The sequence below is a fragment of the Homo sapiens genome, chromosome 2, assembly GCF_000001405.40.
Source record: "Homo sapiens chromosome 2, GRCh38.p14 Primary Assembly".
NCBI lineage: Eukaryota > Metazoa > Chordata > Mammalia > Primates > Hominidae > Homo > Homo sapiens.
In genome coordinates this window covers 90,358,795-90,380,554 of record NC_000002.12, presented here as the reverse complement: position 1 = coordinate 90,380,554, position 21,760 = coordinate 90,358,795, and the positions used below count along the sequence as shown (strand labels likewise).

General features: G+C 36.3%; 1 protein-coding gene across 1 annotated transcript, besides 3 other annotated features; it reads right to left on the bottom strand.

The window, feature by feature from the left end:
• Positions 647–1,209: an enhancer, noted in NCBI's record as "OCT4-NANOG hESC enhancer chr2:90394129-90394691 (GRCh37/hg19 assembly coordinates)". NCBI's record gives its function as "activates a minimal SCP1, AML or CMV promoter by ChIP-STARR-seq in primed H9 embryonic stem cells {active_cell/tissue: H9 hESC(primed)}" and the evidence as "EXISTENCE:reporter gene assay evidence [ECO:0000049][PMID:30033119]".
• Positions 19,157–19,658: an enhancer, noted in NCBI's record as "H3K4me1 hESC enhancer chr2:90412639-90413140 (GRCh37/hg19 assembly coordinates)". NCBI's record gives its function as "activates a minimal SCP1, AML or CMV promoter by ChIP-STARR-seq in primed H9 embryonic stem cells {active_cell/tissue: H9 hESC(primed)}" and the evidence as "EXISTENCE:reporter gene assay evidence [ECO:0000049][PMID:30033119]".
• LOC124905368 (translation initiation factor IF-2-like) lies at positions 19,429–21,236 on the bottom strand. Its single transcript, XM_047446870.1, has 6 exons — positions 21,202–21,236; positions 21,020–21,105; positions 20,335–20,741; positions 20,071–20,219; positions 19,969–20,037; positions 19,429–19,754 (listed from the first exon to the last, which is right to left on the bottom strand). Exons 2-6 carry the CDS (start codon positions 21,050–21,052, stop codon positions 19,429–19,431), a joined length of 984 nt encoding a protein of 327 aa, XP_047302826.1. The 5' UTR covers positions 21,053–21,105; positions 21,202–21,236.
• Positions 19,659–20,158: an enhancer, noted in NCBI's record as "H3K4me1 hESC enhancer chr2:90413141-90413640 (GRCh37/hg19 assembly coordinates)". NCBI's record gives its function as "activates a minimal SCP1, AML or CMV promoter by ChIP-STARR-seq in primed H9 embryonic stem cells {active_cell/tissue: H9 hESC(primed)}" and the evidence as "EXISTENCE:reporter gene assay evidence [ECO:0000049][PMID:30033119]".
• Positions 21,237–21,760: the final 524 nt, after the last annotated feature.

The following is a 21,760-nucleotide window of genomic DNA, read 5'->3' as shown; positions in this document are numbered from 1 at the left end:
GATGATTCCATTGGATTCCATTCAATGATGATTCTATTCATGTCCATTCGATGATTCCATTGTATTCCATTTAATGATGATTCCATTCGAGTCTATTCCATGATTCCATTCAATTCCATTCACTGATGAATCCATCCGAATCCATTCGATGATTCCATTCGTTTCCCTTCGATGATTCCATTTGATCCCATTCGATGATTCCCTTCAATTCCTTTCGGTGATCTTTCCATTCGATTCAATTCATTGATTCAATTTGATTCCATACGATGATGATTCCATTCGATTCCATTTGATGATGATTCCATTTGATTCCATTTGATCATGAGTCCATTCGATTCCATTTGCTGATTACTGTGTTCGGTTCCATTTAATGATGATTCCTTTCAGTTCCATTTGATGATGGTTCCTTTAGATTCCATTCGATGATTCCATTCGATTACTTTTGTTGATGATTCCATTCGATTCCCTTCAATGATGATTTCATTCGATTCCATTTGATGATGATTCCATTCGATTCCATTCAGTGATTATTCCATCTGATTCCATTCGATGATTATTCCATCCGATTCCATTCGATGATTATTCCATTCAAGTCCTTTGGATGATGATGCCTTTTGATTCCATTCAATGATGACTCCATTCGTTTCCATTCGATGGTGTTTCCACTTGATTCCATTCGATGATATTTCCATTCTATTCCATTCGATGATGATTCCATTCCATTCCATTCCACTACATTCCATTACATCTGATTCCATTCCACTCCATTCCACTCCTCTCCTCTCCACTCCACTCCCTTGCTTTCCATTCCATTCCTTTCTTTCGAGAGTGGCTCATTGTTTCACCCATTGTGTAACACAATGGCACAATCTCATCTCCCATTCCATTCAATTCCTCTCCATTCAATTCCATTTGATTCCATTCCATTCCATTCCATTCCATTCCATTCCATTCTATTCCATTCCATTCCATTCCATTCCATTCTATTCCATTCCTTTCCTTTCCATTCGAAGAAGAAAAGGTGTTGCAAAGTCATACTCACTTTTCTGCACTTGTCATACAATTAAGATTTCTTTGAGTACTTCAGCCCTAATAATTTTCGTTTTATCATACATATTGCAGTGCTTATCTAATTTTAAATATATTTTTGTTTCAACATCCAGTTTCTTATTTGTTCTATCTGTTTGTTTACAATAAATTTTACTCTGTGTTCATTCTTTGATTTCAGAACTTCAACCTTTCTGAAGCATATTTTCAGAGTTTCTCTTTAGTTTCTTTAGTGGAATTCTGCTGGTGGCGTTTTGTTTTTTTCTCTAAATATGTTATTTAGCCACAGGTTGATGAATATTTTTCTTCGTTTAGAAATTCAGAATGGCATTATTATTCTGAACAAATAATATTGTTTATTTTACCTTTCATTTTTTCAGATTTCGGTATGATTAAAAGTAATTTCATTTTTCTAGTGGTAATTGAAATATTTTTCCCTTCATGGGTGTTTACTATTTCTCTAGGAGATACATAGGTGTAGGTGTATCTCCATTGTAGCTTGCTTAGCATGCATGGAGTTTTTGAATATGCAGATCAGTGTCTTACAAAAGTCTAGGGAACTTTCAGACAAAATACCAACACATATTGTCCCTTCCCAGTTCCCTTGTTCTATGAGAACGCTCTCTAAACACATGCTACACTTTCTCACTGTATCTTCCATGTCTCTTCATCATTCTGTCCACATTTTACATTTTTCAAAATTTTCTGTAATGCATTCTGAAATATTTATGAACTCTCACCTTGGCCATGTCTAATCTGATGAATTCATTTTTGAGTTTTTAATTTAAAATAACTACATTTTTATACAAACTTCTTTTCAAATTTGCTACATGAATTTTTTAGTCTCCTAACAATATATTCATTTTTTAAAAAATTTTTTGTAAGCAAATGTGCTTTGTAATCTAACAGTGATATTTCTACTAATGAACCTTTGTGGATCTGTTTGTAGTCTTTTTCTGCTTTCCTTTCAAATGGTGGAATATCATTTCCTTGCATGCTTAGATGTCTTTGAATGACAAATATTTATTTTTCTCTGAAAATTATTTTTGTGCACTTTTGCAGATTAATAAGTAGAAAATTTGCCAAAGAGAAGTTGAATTTTTTTGTGATTCTACTAAAGGCACCACCATTCTGGGACCACATTATGTTAATTCTTGGCCTAAAGGTGTTCGGACATATGTTTGGACTGCACATTTAAACAATTTTTAAATTAGTTGCTGTTAATCATTAATGATTGAGTTTCTTTAAATCCGTCCAATCTCAAATCATTTTTATTTGCCATTTCCAGGGAATGTGAAATGGGACTAATTTACCTCTGATCTTCCTTATACTGAGGATAGAAATGTTGGTCTTAGCTGTAGGGAGGAGCTCCTGTGTGATGCCCTATCTTGGGAAAATCTATGTATTTTTTTACTGTCCTATGTAATGTATGACAATAGGAATCTGCACTCATTCATTTTGCTACATGTCCGTAGGGAAAAATCAGTTTCCGTGTTTAGTTATATTTTGTCTGCTCCCTGCATTCCCATGGTTTTGACCTTATATTTTACTTTTATGTGTGAACATACCAGTGCTTCAAATTTTTTCCAGTAATATATTCAACTATATTATGAGAAAGAGAAAAATTTTGATAAAACACAAATTTCATGTTTTCCCTCTGTAATTGGCTTTTACTTCAAAATACAGGTAAAATTTATTTGTGCTTTTTTTGCTATTTCTGTTTTGCTATTCTCTGTCTATGTCTTCTCCACATAGACACAATTAGGGAATTTTGTACCCTCTTGTGCCAACTGCTTTGATAGTAACAAAATGTATTTCTGGAACTCCTAGGTATAAAACTCAAGTATCCACAATTTAAATTCTTTTTTGCTCATTTCTATTATGTTTCCAGTCTCAATAGAAATCGATGACAATCCAGAAATACAAGCATTATTCTAATACTTCTCACACATTACAGGTATAGATTAAATTTTCTAGATCTCCTTAAATACTATCATTTTTCACTACTTGTATCTTAACTGTTAAGTTCAACATTTTCTATAATATTAATATGTTGTGAAAATTTCCTTACTTTCTTGTTTGTCCCAAGTTCAAGGTTTTGCAGTCTCTACCTCACCCTGTGAAGCATAAACATTGTACTATGCTGTACAAATATTACATAGTTCATGTGCTTAGAGATTGCACAATTTTTGTTTGGTTGACAATAGCTAATGTTTTCTTCTTCATTTTCTATTTCCTGATTTTTCTTTATTTAGTATATGCTACATTATTATAAACATAAGAACGTTTTACAAACTAAAGCAAAAGAAACCCTAGGAAAAAAATGCACAAATAAAATATATAAACATACAATTAGATGTACCATGTACCCTTCTAATTTATTTAGACATTTAATTGTAGTACAATTTTAATTAAAGTCTGTGTATTATCTGCCATCGTCTTAGTATTTTTTATATAACAAATTGTGTAAATCAAAAAGCCTCAATGTCATTATAAACTATCTTGGCAGAGGTTGATGTCCAAGGAATAATTTCTCTCCCAAATTATGTCAATCAGAATTTCACTCTACCATAATTCTTTTAATCAGTTTCAGAGGAATCATCAATTTCAAAATTGTTCAAGGTTGTTGTTGTAGTTCAAGTACATTTTGACAGGTGTAAAACTGTAGACAGACTGATACAAACATATTCTATTTGACACAAAAGTATATGGGTCCTTTTTTAAATTCTAGACTTTAAAATGTCGTGTCAACGTACACATGTTCTCCTTGTGAAATAATTGCTTTTTATTCTCTGGATAGAATAATTTAATCTTTAAACCTTCAATTCACTGTTAAAAACAAAATATTACCTAAGGATATGCATATAAAAATAATTCACAGCTAGCTTTTCAATTCAGAAATATATGTGAGAAATCATCAAGCATCTAATGGATTTCAAGGAGAAATGGGTTAGTAATTTATTCCATATGTCTCAATTTTTCCTAGATTCAAGGCTTCCTTTAAAATAATTGTAGGCGTTTAAGAAACCATGTAAACTAAAAAGAAGAAATTGTGACACTGCCACTTAGGTTTTTTAAATCTTTTGACATGAATCAATATACTTTTTAATTTTATCTTAATTAGACATTGTGAGTTCACCATCTTCCTGTCAGTACAGCATCCAAGCTGATTATCATAGATTACAAGTTACACTATCAACTGTATTCTGAGACTCTTAAAAAAAAATGAGTGTTTTTGTTTGGGTATTCTTAAAGCAGGAGTGAGGACACAGCGAAAGTGAGACAAGGAAGAGAGAACAAAATAAAACAGGAAAGATAGAAAAGCCAGTACCACACGTGTTAAGAGGCAAGTTCCTGTGTTAGATATCGGGGCTTAATTCTATGGGAAGCTATGTGGAACATGCCTCAGAATTACATCACTGAATCCAGGGAGATTCTTCTTAGTTATCCTCACCTTTTCTTCCCACTTGCCCAGTATCAAGCTCCCATGCTGCTAGAGAAAGTCCTCAGCTAGAAACAGCTGCAAATTCTGGAGATGAGACCTTGTAGAGTGTTAAGAGTGGTTTTCTTCCCAGCAGCTACAGGTAAGGAATAGGGGCTGGGCTATTAATACATCTGCTACAAATCAATATACCCCTTATGCTCCTTTTGGTGATCAACAATGTATTTGAAAATATTAGATGATCAAGAAGGGCTGCAGAAAGCAGGAAACAGAAACAAACAGCACACCTCTTGGTTTATTTTTATTCATTTCATCAGTTTCAAGGAAAATGTGTTGGGAGTTCCTGGCATAGAGAATGTCACAAAGATATGTTTTCAATAGTGGTGCTATCCCTAGGGCAGAGAAGATCCAGAGAAAGCACAAGTGGCTGCGGGAACAAAGTCAGACACCGTGCCACCTGTCCACACTCCTTGGTTCTGCCATCATGCTGAAGATTGGTTTAAAGGGCTGGCTTCCCTTCCCACAAAATTAAAAGAGCACAGACTGAGAAACTGAATGCGGGAGACAGCAGTGGATTATGCTGTTCTCAGGGGTCACCTCAGCTTTGGAAGCATTCTTTCAAATTAACCCATCTCAGGCCATCTGCAGAGAAGAAAGGTGATACCTAACTTTTTTTCTTGTCAGCCCTTGGTAGGGGTGTTTTGTTGACCAAATATGTTCCCACAACCTAGTTTCTTGTAACTAACTAAATATAGTAGATTTTTAAATGTTATCATGAAAATCTACAGACAATTTTTTATTAAAATAGGCTCCACATCTATGTCCTCCTTTTCTTCTTATTAATTACATTGCTGTATAAAAGAACAAGACTTCAGAATCAAGAATATCTTGTCTCTTGGCATTGAATTTTTACAAGGTGCTCTTTCTTTAATGCTGTCTCAAAGCACATATTTGTACTCATTAAAAAGGAAGATCAGAATCTAGTTGTATGCACTGCTCCAACATATTAATAATTAAAATTAGGAGGTAAATGTGGTCAAAGCTATAGAAAGACTTGAGATGTCATTTATATTGATTACTGTATAGCACTCTACAAACAGAAATTGTTAAATAATAGTTTATATAAATATTTTGTAGCATTTCAAATATTTGAGTGCCTGAAATTTCTCCTCCAATATAGTCCAGATTATCAATTTGAAGACTTACTCCGCTGGTTAAAAAGTTTTTAGTCGCGTTTGAGTATTATATAAAAGCAATTTTCAGTTAAATGTGTTCCACTTACATAAAACATTACAAATTAGTGAGTATTTAATTACATTTTCGTGTTCCTGTAATGCCTTTAGAAGATTTTCATATTATTACCTATCAATATATGTATGCTTTTTCTAAGAAAAATCAATCATATACATCATTGAAATTGAAACTTTTTTAAAGTACTTATTAATTCTATTGAAAAACCACATCCATAGGAGCAATTACAATATAATATTGTGAACATGTAAATATATATCCTGTCTATTTTATATATAAGCATATGTGATTAAAACTATAGTTCAGAATTTTTAAACCTAGTATTATAAAGTAAAAATTAGTTAAACTTCTGATGATTATTTGTTAATTAAGATAAAATTATTTTGATTTGGGTGATTTTAAATGAACAAAAATATTAAATTACATGACAAAAATTCTTTATAAAATGTTTACGATTTTTACATTGGTTTTATCACTTTATTCCACTATTTTATTTTAAGATGACCTGCCTTGTTTAAAACACTGTATTCATCTTAATTAAATTAAATTCCATTTGTAAAAAAATTAACAAATGATTTGCTCTATTATACAGTGAGGTTATAAACTGAGTCAGTATCTCAAGATTTGATCCCCATTATCGTCATCCGTGGCCCTATTTGTTTGATAAATGTAGTGTCTTTTTCCATGCCTGTCACATCTCTATTGCTCATTTATTTTTCTCCTTGTCCCTTATAGGGAGCATTGCCTATCTCTAGATTAAGCAAAAGTTGCATCTTAAAAAAGCACAATAACCTGCTCAATCTTTCTCACACAGAGAAATGTTTGTTAAGTAATTAAATTGTAGATGATGATACAAAGAGCTTGATTAAATAAGATGCCAAAGTACCCTTGTGATTCAGAATAGGAATGATATTTAATGCCTTTGAAATCAATAATTGCTGAGTGACATTAATTAATGCCAATATTTCAGAAGTTGTTCTGGTTTGTGAAATGTGTACAACATGTAAAAGTTTCCGAACTCTGAAGGGCAACATTATTCTATCATTAAGAATTAAGAATTAATTCACATTAATTATTGGGGAGAAATAATTTTAAGAATTAATGACTGAGAAAACCTTTTTTTTTTATTTAGGAAATTATTTTGTGCATGAGCATTACTGCAAGTTTTGCAAGAAACTTAAAATTATAGAAACAATTATGTGCACAAGATGAATTTAATAACATCTTGATATTTTCCACTAATACAGTTGTATTTGGTAAATCTTTAAATGCCCATCATCTAAAGATAATAAATGAATCTTGGAAATCTTGAAGGTAAAGGTAAATATAAGGATGCATCCAATTACATTTACACACACATAAAATTACATTTACACAAACATACATGCACACACGCTCACTGATACAGGTAAGCATATATATACATGAATTTACCAATTGATTTTAGCTAATATTTATAAGAGCCTGTAGGATTGATATATATTGTTGAACCTGAAAAATATTTATTATATACATGGTTAAAATACACAAAGAAATAAATAGTAATTGCACTAGGCATTTGAAACTGTACTTAAATATAAGCTGTGAACATTTTGTGATCATTACAAATTCTTACACTGAAGATTTTTATTTTTATAATAATATGTTTGATACATGTGTACATTTTTTAAAATGTATTATTTTTGTCATAGAGTCATGTCATGTATAATAACATTTCAGTCAAAGATGGATTACATATACAAAAGTGGTCCCATGAGATTATAATACATATTTTTACATTCTTTTCTATGTTTAAGTATGTTTAGATACATAAACTCTTACCACTGTGTTCTTATTGCCTGCAGTATTCAGTATAGTAATGTAGTACACAGGTTTGTAGCCTAGGGGAGAGAGGCTATACCATATAACCTAAACGTGGTAGGCTGTACAAACTAGGTGTTTGTAATATTCTCTCTGACGTTGGCAAAATGATGAAATTGCCTATGGATGCATCTGTTAGAACGTATCCCTGTCATTCAGTGATGCGTGACTGTGCTAAAATGCTAAATCTAAGTTTCAATGACCTCCATAAAATCGTTGTACTTTGAAATACAAATCTCTCACCTATGGCCTGAATATCTTTGCAAAGTAAGCAGATCATGGGAAGGAGAATGTGCTGGCATCGCTGGGATGATTTTCTCACACTTCATGAATAATATCTCCAGACTTTGAGAATATGAGCCACTTGCATAGAGTTAAAGTAAACATCTCTTTGCTGGGAAATTTATCAAATGGGAGTATGAAGTCTTTTTAAAAGATACTTGTTTGTTTGTAGATGGTAGGCCTACAGTGGCTCATGGCAATGGTTGAGGTTGCTAAGATCTGGTGGAAGGAGGCAAAATGAAATGGCCACTTATATGGTATATGGATCACTTGTTTCTGTTGAGTTACAGATTCAGCTGGCTATTTCTCCCAATGTTAGTTATTTGGAGAAAAAACCATGATGGTAATTTTGGGGTAACAAATACAATATTTGATGAAAACAAATTTATTGAGGGTTAGACAAACTACAAGATAATTTAGGCTGCAAAGTCAACACGAGACTTCTGCCCCAAATTGTGCAGAGTTTGGGTCCAGCTGCAAAGTTCAAAGGAAGAGGCCATATAAGATGATTTGCACTTTTGTCACCAATTGCCAGTTCAGGGGTTTCCCAAGAACACCCTCAGTTTCAAGAATTTACTAAAAAGACTCACAAAAGTCATTGAATGCCATTGTACTCATGGTTTATAATAGAGAAAGGGTAGAAATTAGGACCAATCAAAGGAAGAGACATATCACATAAGGTGGAATCTAGGAGGATTTTGAATGTTAAATTTCCATTGTCTTCAGGACATATTACCTGTCATTGTTGTACAGCAATAAACATGGAGTACTACCAACCTGGGGAGCTCACCTGATGCTAAAAAGACACTATTTCGAAAATGAAAAGACAAAGGAAAGGATGAGATAAGATAACCTTCCACATTAAGGCACTGGAAAGAATAGCAAACTAAACCTAAAGCAAGCAGAAGGAAGAAAATAAAAATTAGAGAAATTAATAATTTATAATATTAATCATATTTGTTAGTATTGACTAATTAATATTAATTCTTGACTGACTTTTTTAAAAAAGAGAAATATTCACTTCCCAATTTATTCTATGGGGCCAGTGTTACCTTGATACAAAAATTAGTCCAAATAGCATAGAAAAATAAAACTACTATAAGTATAAATGCAAAATTCCTTAAAAACTACTAACAAATCAGATCTAGCAACATATACAAGAATTATACACTATGACAAAGTGAAATTTATACTAGTAATCTCAGGTTGGTTTAACAGCCCAAAATCCATTAAGGTAATACATCTTATCCATAGAATAAGAAACAAGAATTGCATGATCATGTCGATAGATTCAGAAAAGACATTTAACAAAATCCAAATGCTTTAATGATTAAAAATAAAAATAAAAACTCAATGAACCAGGAATAGAGAACTTTCTACACCAGATACATGGCACCTGTGAAAAGCCAACAGCAAGAATGCAACTTAATGGTAAAGGATGCTTTCCCGCTATGGTCAGAGATAGGAATAAGATATATACTTTGAGCTCTTCTAGTCAACACTGTACTAAAGATTTTATGCAGGGCAAGTCGGCAACTAAAAAAAAAGAGTCAACCATATTGAACAGGAAGAAATAAAACTTTATTTGAAAATAATATTCTTGTATATAGAAAATTTTAAGGAATTCACTGAACAATAGAACTAGTAAATTATTTCAGCAATATTACAGCATACAAGATAAATCTACAAAAATCAATTGCACACATCTACAATGAAAACCCAAAAATGAAATTAAGAAAACACTTCAATTTAAAATAGCATCAAAAAAAGAAATAATAATTAATTTGGAAAATGTGATACAAGATTTTACTCGGAAAATTAAAAATTATTGTTTAAAGAAGATCTAAATAATTAGCAAATATCTTACAGCCATGAATTGGAAGATTTAATATTGTAGTACTTTCAAGTTGAACTACAGATTTGACGTAATCCCTGCAAGTATCCCAACAGACTTCTGTCTAGAAACTGACAAGCTGATTCTAAAATACACATGGGAATGTAAGGGACTCAAAATAGCCAAAATAGTCTTGAAAAAAGAAAACATATTAGGATAATTCACACCCCCGTGCTCCAAACCTTACGGCAAAGCATCAGTAATCAAGACAACACAACACTGATGAAAGAAAAATATATAGATTGATGGAAGAGAATTGAGAGTCCATATATAAAACTATGTGTCTATAGTCAATGGATTCTTACAGTGGTGCCATGTGCAATTCAATGAGGAAGGGACAGTCTTTGAACAAACTGGGTCAACAGCGTACACGTGGATCGCCACTTGCAAAATAATAAATTGGAACCCTTACCCCAAAGCATACAAAAATATTAACACAAATGAATTAAAGACATACATGGAAGAGCTAGAATAAAGCATATGGGAAAATCTTCAGGATTTTGGATCTAGCAAAGAAATAGCTGTAACACCAAAAACATGAGCAACAAAATAAAAATGAGATATTTAAAATTTCTTAAAAATTAAAGACATTGGTGTTTCAAAGGACAACCAAGCAAGTCAAAAGGCAGCTCAAAAATTGTGAGAAAATATTTGAAAAACACATATCTATATGTCTGCATATATATGTATCTTGAATATAGAAAAATTGTTTTAACTCAGTAACAAATATCCCAACTCAAAACTGATAAATGATAGGAATAGATGTGTTTTCCAAGAAGATACACGAACGGTCAATAATCCCATAAAAAGATACTCAACAGCATCACTCATCAGGCAACTACAAATCAAAACCACAGTTAGATACGCTATGGCTAGAACTGACCACTTTGGAAAATAGGTTGATGGCTTCTAAATATATTAAACATAGAATTGTCATATGACCCAGAAATTTATTCCCAGGTATACACCCAGATTATTGGAAAGAGGTGTTCAAACACAAATTGTACACAAGTATTCTTAGCAGCAGTATTTAAAATAGCCAAAGGTTGAACACAACTCAAATGTCAATAAAAATATTATTGGATAAACAAAATGTCATATCCATGAAATTGAATGTTATACAGGTATAAAAACAAATAAAGTACCGATACGCATATGAACCTTGATAGCATTATGCCAACTGAAAGAAGCCAGGCACAAAAGGCCACCTATTGTATGATTCTATTTAGATGAAAATAGAATAGGAAAATCTACAGAGACAGAAAACAGATTTGTGGTTGCTTAGGATTGAGTAGGGGATGAGTGCATAGGAGGTTAACAGCTAGAGAAAGTGGGGTTTCTTTTTGAAGTGATGAAAATGCTCTAAAATTCATTGTGATGATGGCTCCACTTATCTGCGTATATACTAAAAGCCATTGACTTGTAGACATTAATATGTGCACTCTACACTATGTAAATTATATCTCAATAAATCCTTTCAAAAATACACAGAAGACTAAGGGGTTTTGGAATGTTTCAGCTGGGAGGCAGTTTGAAATACTGAATAGGTCTCATCGAGAATGTGAGGTTTCAGTAAAGATTTGAGGAGTCGAATGAGCTGATCAATGGATATATGGGGGGATTTCTTTCAAAGCCAAGAAATTAACTAGAGTCTTGGTCATAAGACAGCAGCATGTTGGCATGTCCAGAGGACAGTGAGGTGGACAGGACCACTGGTAAGATCAAGGGTGAAGACATAAAAGAATTTTGGCGGTTAACATGCGGCAGATCATGATGGGCTTGCAGACCATTGTACGAATTGTGTCTTTTAGTGTAAATGAAATGGGGAGACAAATCATTACCACACTATCAATATTTTAATAAATTGGATCCATGAACCAAATACAATGAGATTAAATCAATTAGTAATAATATGCACATTTGTATTAAAATTACAAGAATTACTTGCACATTTGAGAACAGGAGAGTCATGATTTTTTATCAGCAATAATAAGCTATTAATTTTAATTGTGATCAGCTAATTGAGATTAATTGCAATACATCATGCTTTATAATGTGACTGTCAAAAGGAAAGTATGATTGTAATCTTATACTACATCTATCAATGTCTTTGATTCAGAGGACTATAGAATAAGCCCCTAGTTTTCAAAGCCAACTGATGAGGCAGTGACATCTTATGCAAGTTTGCTGCTTTCTGCCACAGTGGTCCTTGGTCAGCTGGCACAAATTGTTTTACAAACACCACTAGGTCTAAAAAAAGTTTGGATCACAATGAACACAGAAATACCTTCATTCCTTCAGAAATACCTATCAATTACTTCCAATACAGAATGAAAAATTGACAACGGAAATATGTCGATTGTAAAAATGCCACATAGCTTGAATCTACATGAAAGAAAAATGCCATTTTTATTACAATACATCATCGTTTTACATGAGTTTTGGTATAGCACAATGTTGAACCAAGGGCAAAGAAAGATGAATTAATGAAATCTTAAGACATCAAGAATTTGAAAGAAAAGGAAGGTCATCTTTGAAGGTTAGTGACATAGCATTCATCTTCTGTTGTCACCTTTTCCGTCATTCCCTGTATGCCTGATGGACAGCTTTCACTCAAGTTCAGAGAACAGCATGCAAAGATTAGCTACCAATTAATTTTTATGAAGTGAGCTTAATTTCTAGCCAGACCGAGCTTATGTTTTAGCAGGAAGCATTTTTGGGAAATGTTTATGTTAGAGTTTGCCCTTCTTGACAAGGTGAGGCATAAATGTCTACTTTATAGACATGAATTAAGATGGGAAGATATTTGGGGGAAAAATTTTCTCAAATGCTAAATAACAAAGGTACACAAAGGGGAAATTATACTAGATTTATTTCCCACTTGTTTTCTATGTCTCATCCAATTCACCTTGATTCCCTTCAGTTTCTGTTTAATGTAGAAAGTGGCATTTTCATTATTTTAAGCTTCTAGCACAATGAAAGATTTTCTCTTTTTCTTGAACAGGATCGTAAATGAAAGGGAGGAAGAGTGTCCAATATCATATTTATTGTTCAACAAAACACTGCTCCACGGCTTAAATTCAGTTTAAAAAAGAGAATTTATTGAACATCTAACACATACATAAAAGGCAGTAAAGACAAATGAGAAGAGGGCAGGATATTGAAGTATACAGACTTAAATGCTGAGTTTTGTATCTTAGTAAGTTACTGCACCTTACAGAGACTCAATTTCCACTGATTTAGGAAGGCGATGTTAATGGGTATTTCATAGGTGTAAGTATAAAAATGTTGTATTTAAGAGAATCCCACAAGCTTGGTATAAAGCAGAAAATAAATAGATGTGACATTAATTAGTAGTTTCTTACATTTGTATGCTACCTGCAGACTAGAGGAAGCAAGAAACACAGCCACTATGCTTGATTAGCATTATATTCTAATTTGGAATATAAATAGAAAAGAGAAAAATAGAAAGCTATGCATAAACACATGCATTAAAATGAATTTTATGTGGACTCTTTCAGGAAAATGTTCCTAAGGTATTTTATTTTTTTATTGTGGTAAAATACACATAACATAAAATGTACTCTGTTAACCATTTTAAATGTACAGTTCAGTGGTACTAAATATAGTCATAACATTGTGCAGCCGTCCCTACCATCCATCTCCATAACTCGTTTCATCTTGTGAAACTGAAACTCTATACCCATTAAACAGTACTTTCCCATGTCTTCCTCCCCCCAGCTTCTGGCATTCATCATTGTACTATCTCTATGATTCTGTCCAGTTTAAGTCTCTTATACAAATGGAATTGTACTGTATTTGTCCTTCACTGACTAACTTATTTCACTTGGCATAATATCCTCAAGTTTCATCCAAGATGCAACATATGTCTGAATATTTCCCTCATGTTTAAGGCTGAATGATTTACCATTGTATGTATATATCATGTTTTGCATATCCATTCATCTGTTGTTGGACACTTCAATTGCTTCTACGTTTTAGCTATTGCCAATAATGCTGCTGCAAACATGGATGTGCAAATATTTTTTCAAGACTCTGCTTTCAATTCTTTTGCTGTCTTGAGATGTGGGGCTGCTGAATCGTAAGGCAATACCATTTTGATGTTTTGAGGAACTACCATACTCTTTTCCACAGCAAACATAGGGTTTGGCATTCCCTCCAATATTGCAAAACGAATCGCCACGTCCTTGCCTGTGGATTTTATTCACAAGTCCTGTGGCTCTCTCTACATAACGGCCACCATGTGTTATTTCCTGTTTATATATATGAAATCAAAGGTGCAGGAAATAATGAACTAAATTGGAAGGATAAACATGTAGAAAAATAGAGGTAAATACTGACTACATAAAACCATAAGAATAAGAATTTTGGATGATCTATATATTATATATCTATTTATCTAACATCTGTCTGTTCCTCCATCTGTAATTAAAATATATTACAGTTAGAGAACAGAGAAAAAAGTAAGAATACATGAATTTAAATTTTAATTCTTCTTAGATTGTCTCACAGCATCATTATATGACAGAAAATTTATAGGTCAGTATCTGTTAACTGTAAATGTAACATTCTTAAAGAATTCAAATACATTGAATTACAGCATGAATAAAATATTACAATCCATTCAAGTTTATTTTATTCCAGGAACACAAAAATACAAATTTCATTTGCAATTCAAGAAAAACAGAAATCGATACATATGATTGATGTATATACACATTTAATGTATTTTTAAATATACATTTTTAAAAAATAGAAATTTAACTAGGACAACTACTTAAAATATCACTGAAAATAGTGTTAGTAGATAATACCTTCCTAATAACTCTGGTATTACATAAGAAAACAAAATTAAAATTTCAGATAAGCTTAGAAACTAAAAATTTTAGAAATATTATTCTGTTCTCCATATGTTCATATTTAATATTATTTCTTGTTTTCATTCTTCTTCAGTGTTCCTCTACTAAAATATAACATACAACAGTTACTTTTGATTTCTGTTCTTATTACTCAAAATTGTACACATTTTCTCATTCTCTTAATTTAGCCATGCTACTTTTCTGTACTCCTGGAATTTTCACATTTTTGTTCACTCTCTTTTGAGTTCCCATAGTATCAAATAAGCTTTTTTCCCTCTTTCTGATTTGAAGGTTCATCTCATAATTATTTTGTCCACTCAATTTCTTTTCATTCTCAGTTAAGGGCCTCTCATCTGGCTTCTTTTCATTTGTAAGGTTTCCTTTCATCTTAAGCCAGTCTTTTATTTATATTTTGATTCTGTTTTGTGGAGGACATGCTTTCCTGAATTTTAAGGAAGAGGCTAAAAGGTTCGTTCAAGTTTTTACCTGATACATTGGATTAAATTATCTAATGTACACACCCTTAATTTAAGTCTAGGGGTGACTGTCTACTCTTGATTTTGTATAGTATTATTTTTCTTAACATCCAAGTCCATCTTCATCTATTTGTATATGATCAATAAAAATATATTTGTCCAGAACCCTGCTTTGGTGGAGTTACTTCTTTCTAAGTAGGAGAGGTAGCAGTTGAGACATGAGCTGGGTTCTGGGTCAGTTTAGAGGGCTGGGCGACATTCCTCCTTTTGGTCTGTATGACTGAATGAATGCGGTTCTTGCTGTCTCGCTCCTCTCCTTAACACATTGAGCCATTGCAGCAGATGAGAAGGAATAATCCTGATCTGCCATTGAGGTGGAACACATGTTCTCTCCAACCACATCCATAGGTTGTACTCACACTCGGCCAGAATGTATCCTGTCAATGATATGGAGATGTATCTGGCTATCTAGTTAGATATCTACTTTGGTTTATGCTCTCTGGTTGCCCGTAAATTATCTCCTTAAAGTGAATATCAAAAGAGAGCTTGGTGATGGCAGTGTTATAAAATCCTCAAAATGCAGCACCCTCACCCAGAGGAATTTGTAGATTCTGGGATTCTAATTCAGATACCAAACTATATAAAAGGGGCATTGGTCATTGAGGGTTGCTAGGCTCTTTGTGGAGCATATTTGCTCTTTTCATGACTTTGAAATTATTTTAAAAATCTAACCTTTTTCTCAGTGTGCTGCAAGATGATTTGATTTTAATGCACGAGCACTGATTCTCCCCTAAGATTTGTACAATATATTTACTCTGACAAGCCATAGCCAGCAACTCACTTCACAGCAATTTATAGCATTTCCACGACAAGTTGAATTATTTTTAACTAGACTCTCTTTGCCTTAATCAAAATATGAAGAAGCAATATATTGTTCTAGTTAGGTTCAAAAGTTGGCAGTCTCTCTCCTGGAAAGAATAATAAAACTTTTCAGCGGCCTAATATGCATCTATAGACACACACACACACACACACACACACACACACGCAGGCACTATTCATAATATTTAAAGCACATTCTGTTCTATGACTTCATTTATCTAGCACAAAATAAAACGATCTCAGTATATGTCAAGTACCAATTATTTCGTATGGCCAATTATAGGTATTTTATTTTTTAAAGATTCGAGTGTTCTTGAAGCTCTTTCTATTTCTTTGTCAATGAACTAAACATTGGCAAATATGTAGGGTTTCCCACATAAGAACATTATTACCATCAAAATAGAAAGCTGGTGGTAGAAATAATGATTGGGAACACAGAGTCTCTACTCAGCGTTCTACTTCTGCTATACCATAAGTTTGTGATCTCACGAAATATCTCTCCATGTTGTCATCCCTATGTATAGTTCTGTCATTTTTCAATAAGAGCTTTTTGCTTAATTATGAAGTACTAGTTACTATAACCATTATTTTGAGCTTCATGTAAATCAAGAACACATGGACTCCACTTGCAAAACATTGAAAATGTAGTTAGGGATTGGGGCCTAAAGCAACATTTTAAAATGTGTAAAGACAATGAGTAAGCAACAAAGTGTCCAATTTTTTAGGGCAAATTTGCATACGTCAGGAAAAGGCAGGATTAAGTAACAGAGAATTTGAATGATAACTGGCCAATTGGTGTCGTTTACAATTGCAAGTCATACAAATGAAGTTTGCTTTTTTAAAGAGAAAAGGAGTTAGTTAGAATGGGTCAACCTATTGGGGAAGCAATGTAGTTAGAGACAATGCCCAAAACCATGTGAGCAAATGCTCTGTAGAGCGCACCCCTGCAATGCTGCCATTGTGAGGCCAAGTCTCTCCTTGTCTTGGTACTGAGCCCTCCATTCTGCCTCCATCATTGCCACTGTAGCTGCCACAAGGTGAACCCTCAACCACCGCTGCCCAGGAACAAAGAAAGAATTATGTCCTTCCGCGCTCTCAGATCAATTTCCAACATCAGGTGAGCCTTTGATGGGCACTATTCAGTTCCCATATCCCTGAAATAGATGCAGTAAAAACATAGAAATTGCCTATGTGTTTCCCAATAAGACACATATGGAAGCCTGTTTTCCCACAACAGGAAGGGTTTTCCTTGATGGGTGTTCAAAGGAACAATATTCCCTGCAAACCATACTTTGCCCATGTGAAGAAAAGCAATGAGGATTATTTAATAAATAGACATAGAAACTCATCCAGGGTTGGCTGATGAGAATCTGGTTAGCAAGGGGGTCTGCCTTCAGTTAGGACAAGGTCTGTGCTCCCCACGGGTTCTCTCCACAGCATGAGGGATGCAAACTTCCCTTTCCTCCCCTGCACCTACCCTCAAATGGCCCAGAGGTCTTCAGGTGCTAGAATTTCTCAATTAATGCTGCACAAAATAACAGACAGCCTTGGCTGTCACAGTCTGTTCTCATGAAGCTAGTCTCTGCTCACTACATAAAACAGGAGAGTAAGAACAAGGGTGTTTAACGCTACCCTAGCTCAAACAAGTTTCTCTCTGTAGGATGCCAAGAACCTGGGAACCAGTGCATCTGCTGCTTTCCCTTCTCGGATTCTAGCCCAGACAAAAGAGGCAAGGGTCATTTCTTCAGACGCCTTGAGCTTCACTACACAATGCCCCAGGCTCTACATGCACCCTCTTTATATATTTCTACCTTGAAAAAAATTTTTATATAATATTAATAGTATATATTTTTATATAAGAAACACATATGTTTATTTTATAGATAGATATACATAGATAAAGATCTCTAGTCACCCTTTTTTAAGGCTGGGCTGATCGCGGTGCCTCAAATCTATAATCCCGGCACTTTGGGAGGCCAAGGTGGCCAGATCTCTTGAGTCCAGGAGTTGGAGATCTGCCAGGGCAACATGGTGAAACCCCATCTTTACAAAAATTAGCTAGTATGGTGTCATGCACTTGCAGTCCCTGCTACTCAGGAGACTGAGGTGGGAGAATCGCTTGAGCACAGTATGTGAAGGCTTCAGTGAGCTCTGATCACATGAATGCACCCCATCTTGGGTGACAAAGTGAAACCCTCTCTGAAAAATAAAATAAAATAAAAAGGCTACCACCATACTCACAGATAAGTGTGTCAGGTATATTTGTAGCTATCCTTCCTATATTCTATTTGGTAAAAAAAAAAAAAAAAAAAAAAAAAAAAATGCAAAGAACTCTTCTCATTCTAGATTTTTGTATTACTTAGACATTTGAAGTTTATAGCAGAAGAGCTATAATCATGTTTGGTATGCGTACTCTATAGACCAGATAGTGCAAACAGATATCAATGCTTTTTAAAAGTATATAAGGTTATTAGAAATATTTTAAACTACCTATAGGTGTATATGTATCTAATTGAACTATCAAATGCAAGTAAGATCATTTCCTTAGCGTGTTAAATCCACTCAATTTATTAAAATATTTTCTAATGTCTATTACAATAATGTTTCTTAATTAGCTAACATAAGAGGAGTTTTAAGACATTTATTTATATGTACTTACTAGATTCAAACTCGATTCCACTATTTTCAGAAATCATGCTCTGAGACAAGTCCTTTTTTTATCTAACTATGTTTCTGCCTATATTAAAAGACAGATATGTCCATTTTGCTAATCATGCTGTTCCAAACCTCTCCATCCTATTTTTCGGTTTGTTCTAGCAGTCATTCAGAGACTTACTTATATTCAAATTTCTCTCTAGGTTTAACATTTGTGTATGTCTTCTTGTGGTTTTGTCTATTTTTGCTGTATATAAGACATTTATTGACATATATCATACATGCAGAAAAGTACAATGATTAAATATGGATAGCTTCATTAATGAAACACATGTATTTGCTTATAACCATGTATGAAAATAGAACATTACTAAAAATAGTGATACTTCTCCTGCCCCTTTCCAAACACTAACCCTCATCCTCAATAGCAACAGATTTTTTTTTATCATAGAGTAATTTGGTCTATTTTCAAATTTTTATTAAATAAATCAGAGTATCTACTCTAAGTCTATGTTTCTCTCATTGTTGCTATTTTGCTTATAGTATTTATCTGCTAATGGACATGGTAGATTAAAGACGGCTACATACACATTTTTTAATTAATAGATTTTTTGAGCACTTTGTGGCTCATGCCTCTAATCCCATCACTTTGGGAGGCTGAGGTGCGTGGATCATGAGGTCAGGAGATCCAGACAATCCTGGCCAATGTGGTAAAACCCCTTCTCTACTAAACTACAAAAAATTAGCTGATAGATAACATCAAGATAACATCTGGGTTCTTAGCTGCACTGAGTCAAGCCAACTTACATCTTTGTTTGTCTTCCTCTGCACTTTTCCTTCCACATCACACTCCAGGAATGCCAAGCTGTTCTGGCCTTCTACCCCATTTCCACTACTTTGCCCCCGCCGACGCGGCTTTTTGCCGCCATGGATTTTTGCCCCCGCTGCTGCGGGTTTTTGCGGCTTTATGCCTCCGCCGCCTCGACTTTTTGCCCCCGCCTCCGTTGCTTTCTGCCCCCGCCACCGCGGCTTTCTGCCCCCGGCCTCGCGGAATTTAGCCCCTGCTGCCGCGGCTTTTTGGGGATCTTTGCCCTCGCAGCCGCGGCTTTTTGCCGCCGCAGCTTTTTGCGTCTTTCTCCCCCCACCGCCGCGGCTTTTTGCCCTCGCCGCCGCGGCTTTTTTCCCCCGCCGCTGCAGCTTTTAGCCCCCGTCACCGCGACTTTTTCCGCTGCGGCTTTTTGCCACCGCCGCCGCGGCTTTTTATGACTTTTGGCCCCCGGCGCCGCGGCTTTTTACGGCTTTTCGCCCCCGCCGCCGCAGGTTTTTCCCGCCGCGGCTTCTTGCCCCCGCCGCCCCGGCTTTTTGCGGCTTTTTGCCGCCGCGGCTTTTGGCCCCCGCCGCCGCGAGTTTTTTCCCCTGTCGCCGCAGGTTTTTCCTGCCCCGGCTTCTTGCCCCCACCGCCCGGGCTTTTTGCCCCCGCCGTCGCGGCTTTTTGCCCCCAATGCTGCGGCTTTTTACGGCTTTTTGCGCCCATCACCGTAGCTTTTTGCCTCCGCCACCGCAGCTTTTTGCGTCCGCAACCACGGCTTTTTGACCCCGCCGCCATGGCTTGTTGCCCCCGTCGCCCTGGCTTTTTCCCCCACCGCCCCGGCTTTTTGCGCCCACCGCTGCAGTTTTTTGCCCCCACCGCCGCGGGTCTGAGGGCTGGATCCGCAGACTTGGCTGCCAGCTCTACCGGCGTCCTGACTAAGGCAGCGCCAAGGGGCGCTCCTGGTCCAGCTCTCCCGAATCAGGGGTTCCTTGCCTAGACGCCGGCGCCCAGGGCTCCGCTCCTGGGCTGCTGCAGCCCGCATAGAGCGGCGCTGCGCTCGGCTGCAATGGGAGAGAAGAAGGAGGGCAGTGGCGGGGGTGACGCGGCTATCGCGTAGGGAGGCACAGGGGCCGCGGCCAGCCGGGCGCTGCAGCAGTGCGGGCAGCTCCAGAAGCTCATCGGCATCTCCATTGGCAGCCTGCGCGGGCTGCGCACCAAGTGCGCTGTGTCCAAGGACCTCACCCAGCAGGAGATACGGACCCTGGAGGTAAGGGGGTCAGGGACCAGGGCTGGGCTCCAGCACCAGACTGGACACCTCCATCTGGGCCCCAGTTCACTCCTGGCCGAGTTGCATCCTTGAGCCCACGTCGCCCCTTTGGAGGCTTCTCCTCCCTCCTGCACTCGCTGATGCGGCAGCCGGAGGACCTGGGACCAGCCCTCACCTTGGGCAGGATTTGTGGAGCGGTTGCGTGTTGGGAACTGTGATGGATGCTCGAGGGGCCCATGGGCGGGGTGGGCTGCACGCGGACATCCCCTTACCTCCCGAATTGCCATCTGGTCCAGCCCTCTCATCTTGTAGGTGAGGAAACCGAAGGCCTGAGGGAGAAATGACTTGCCAGGAACCCCTGTTAAGGAGAATTAACAAAGAGTGGTTACTAAAGGAGCAGTGAGTTGGGAGTCAGACCTGGAGGCCCGCACCCTTGGTTAAGACATTATAACACCTTGAGTCTGGCCTGTTGACTGAGGGTGAGCCACTCCATCCTCGTCTGATTGTGGGGTCTTGACCTCAAGGGGTTTCCTGCAGGAAGAAGCAAATGGGTTTGCCTCCCTAGCTCTGTCCAGTACCTTAGGGACCCTGAGAACTAGAGAGATTCTTGGAGAGCCATCTGGTGTATGTCATGGGTGGGCCTTGTTTGAAGGTCAGTCTGCCCAGTGGGCTGGCTCAGCCCGAATGAACTCTCTTGAATCTTTGGAGTTTTCTGTGTACTTTTAAGGGTTTCTCATCCTTGCACCAAAAGATCTCCTGGAAATTAGGTGGGAAAACCTTAACTTTTGTGGGGCCCTGTGTTTGTCTTAAAAGTTCATGCACATGGCCAGGTGTGGTGGCTCACGCCTGTTATCCTGTCCTGGATCACTTGAGTCAAGGAGTTTGAGACCAATCTGGACAACATAGTGAGACCCCGTCTCTACAAAAAAAAAAAAAAAATAGTAGCCAGGGGTGGTTGTGCACATCTGTAGTCCTACCTACTACTGTGGCTGAGGAGGGAGGAGCACTTGAGC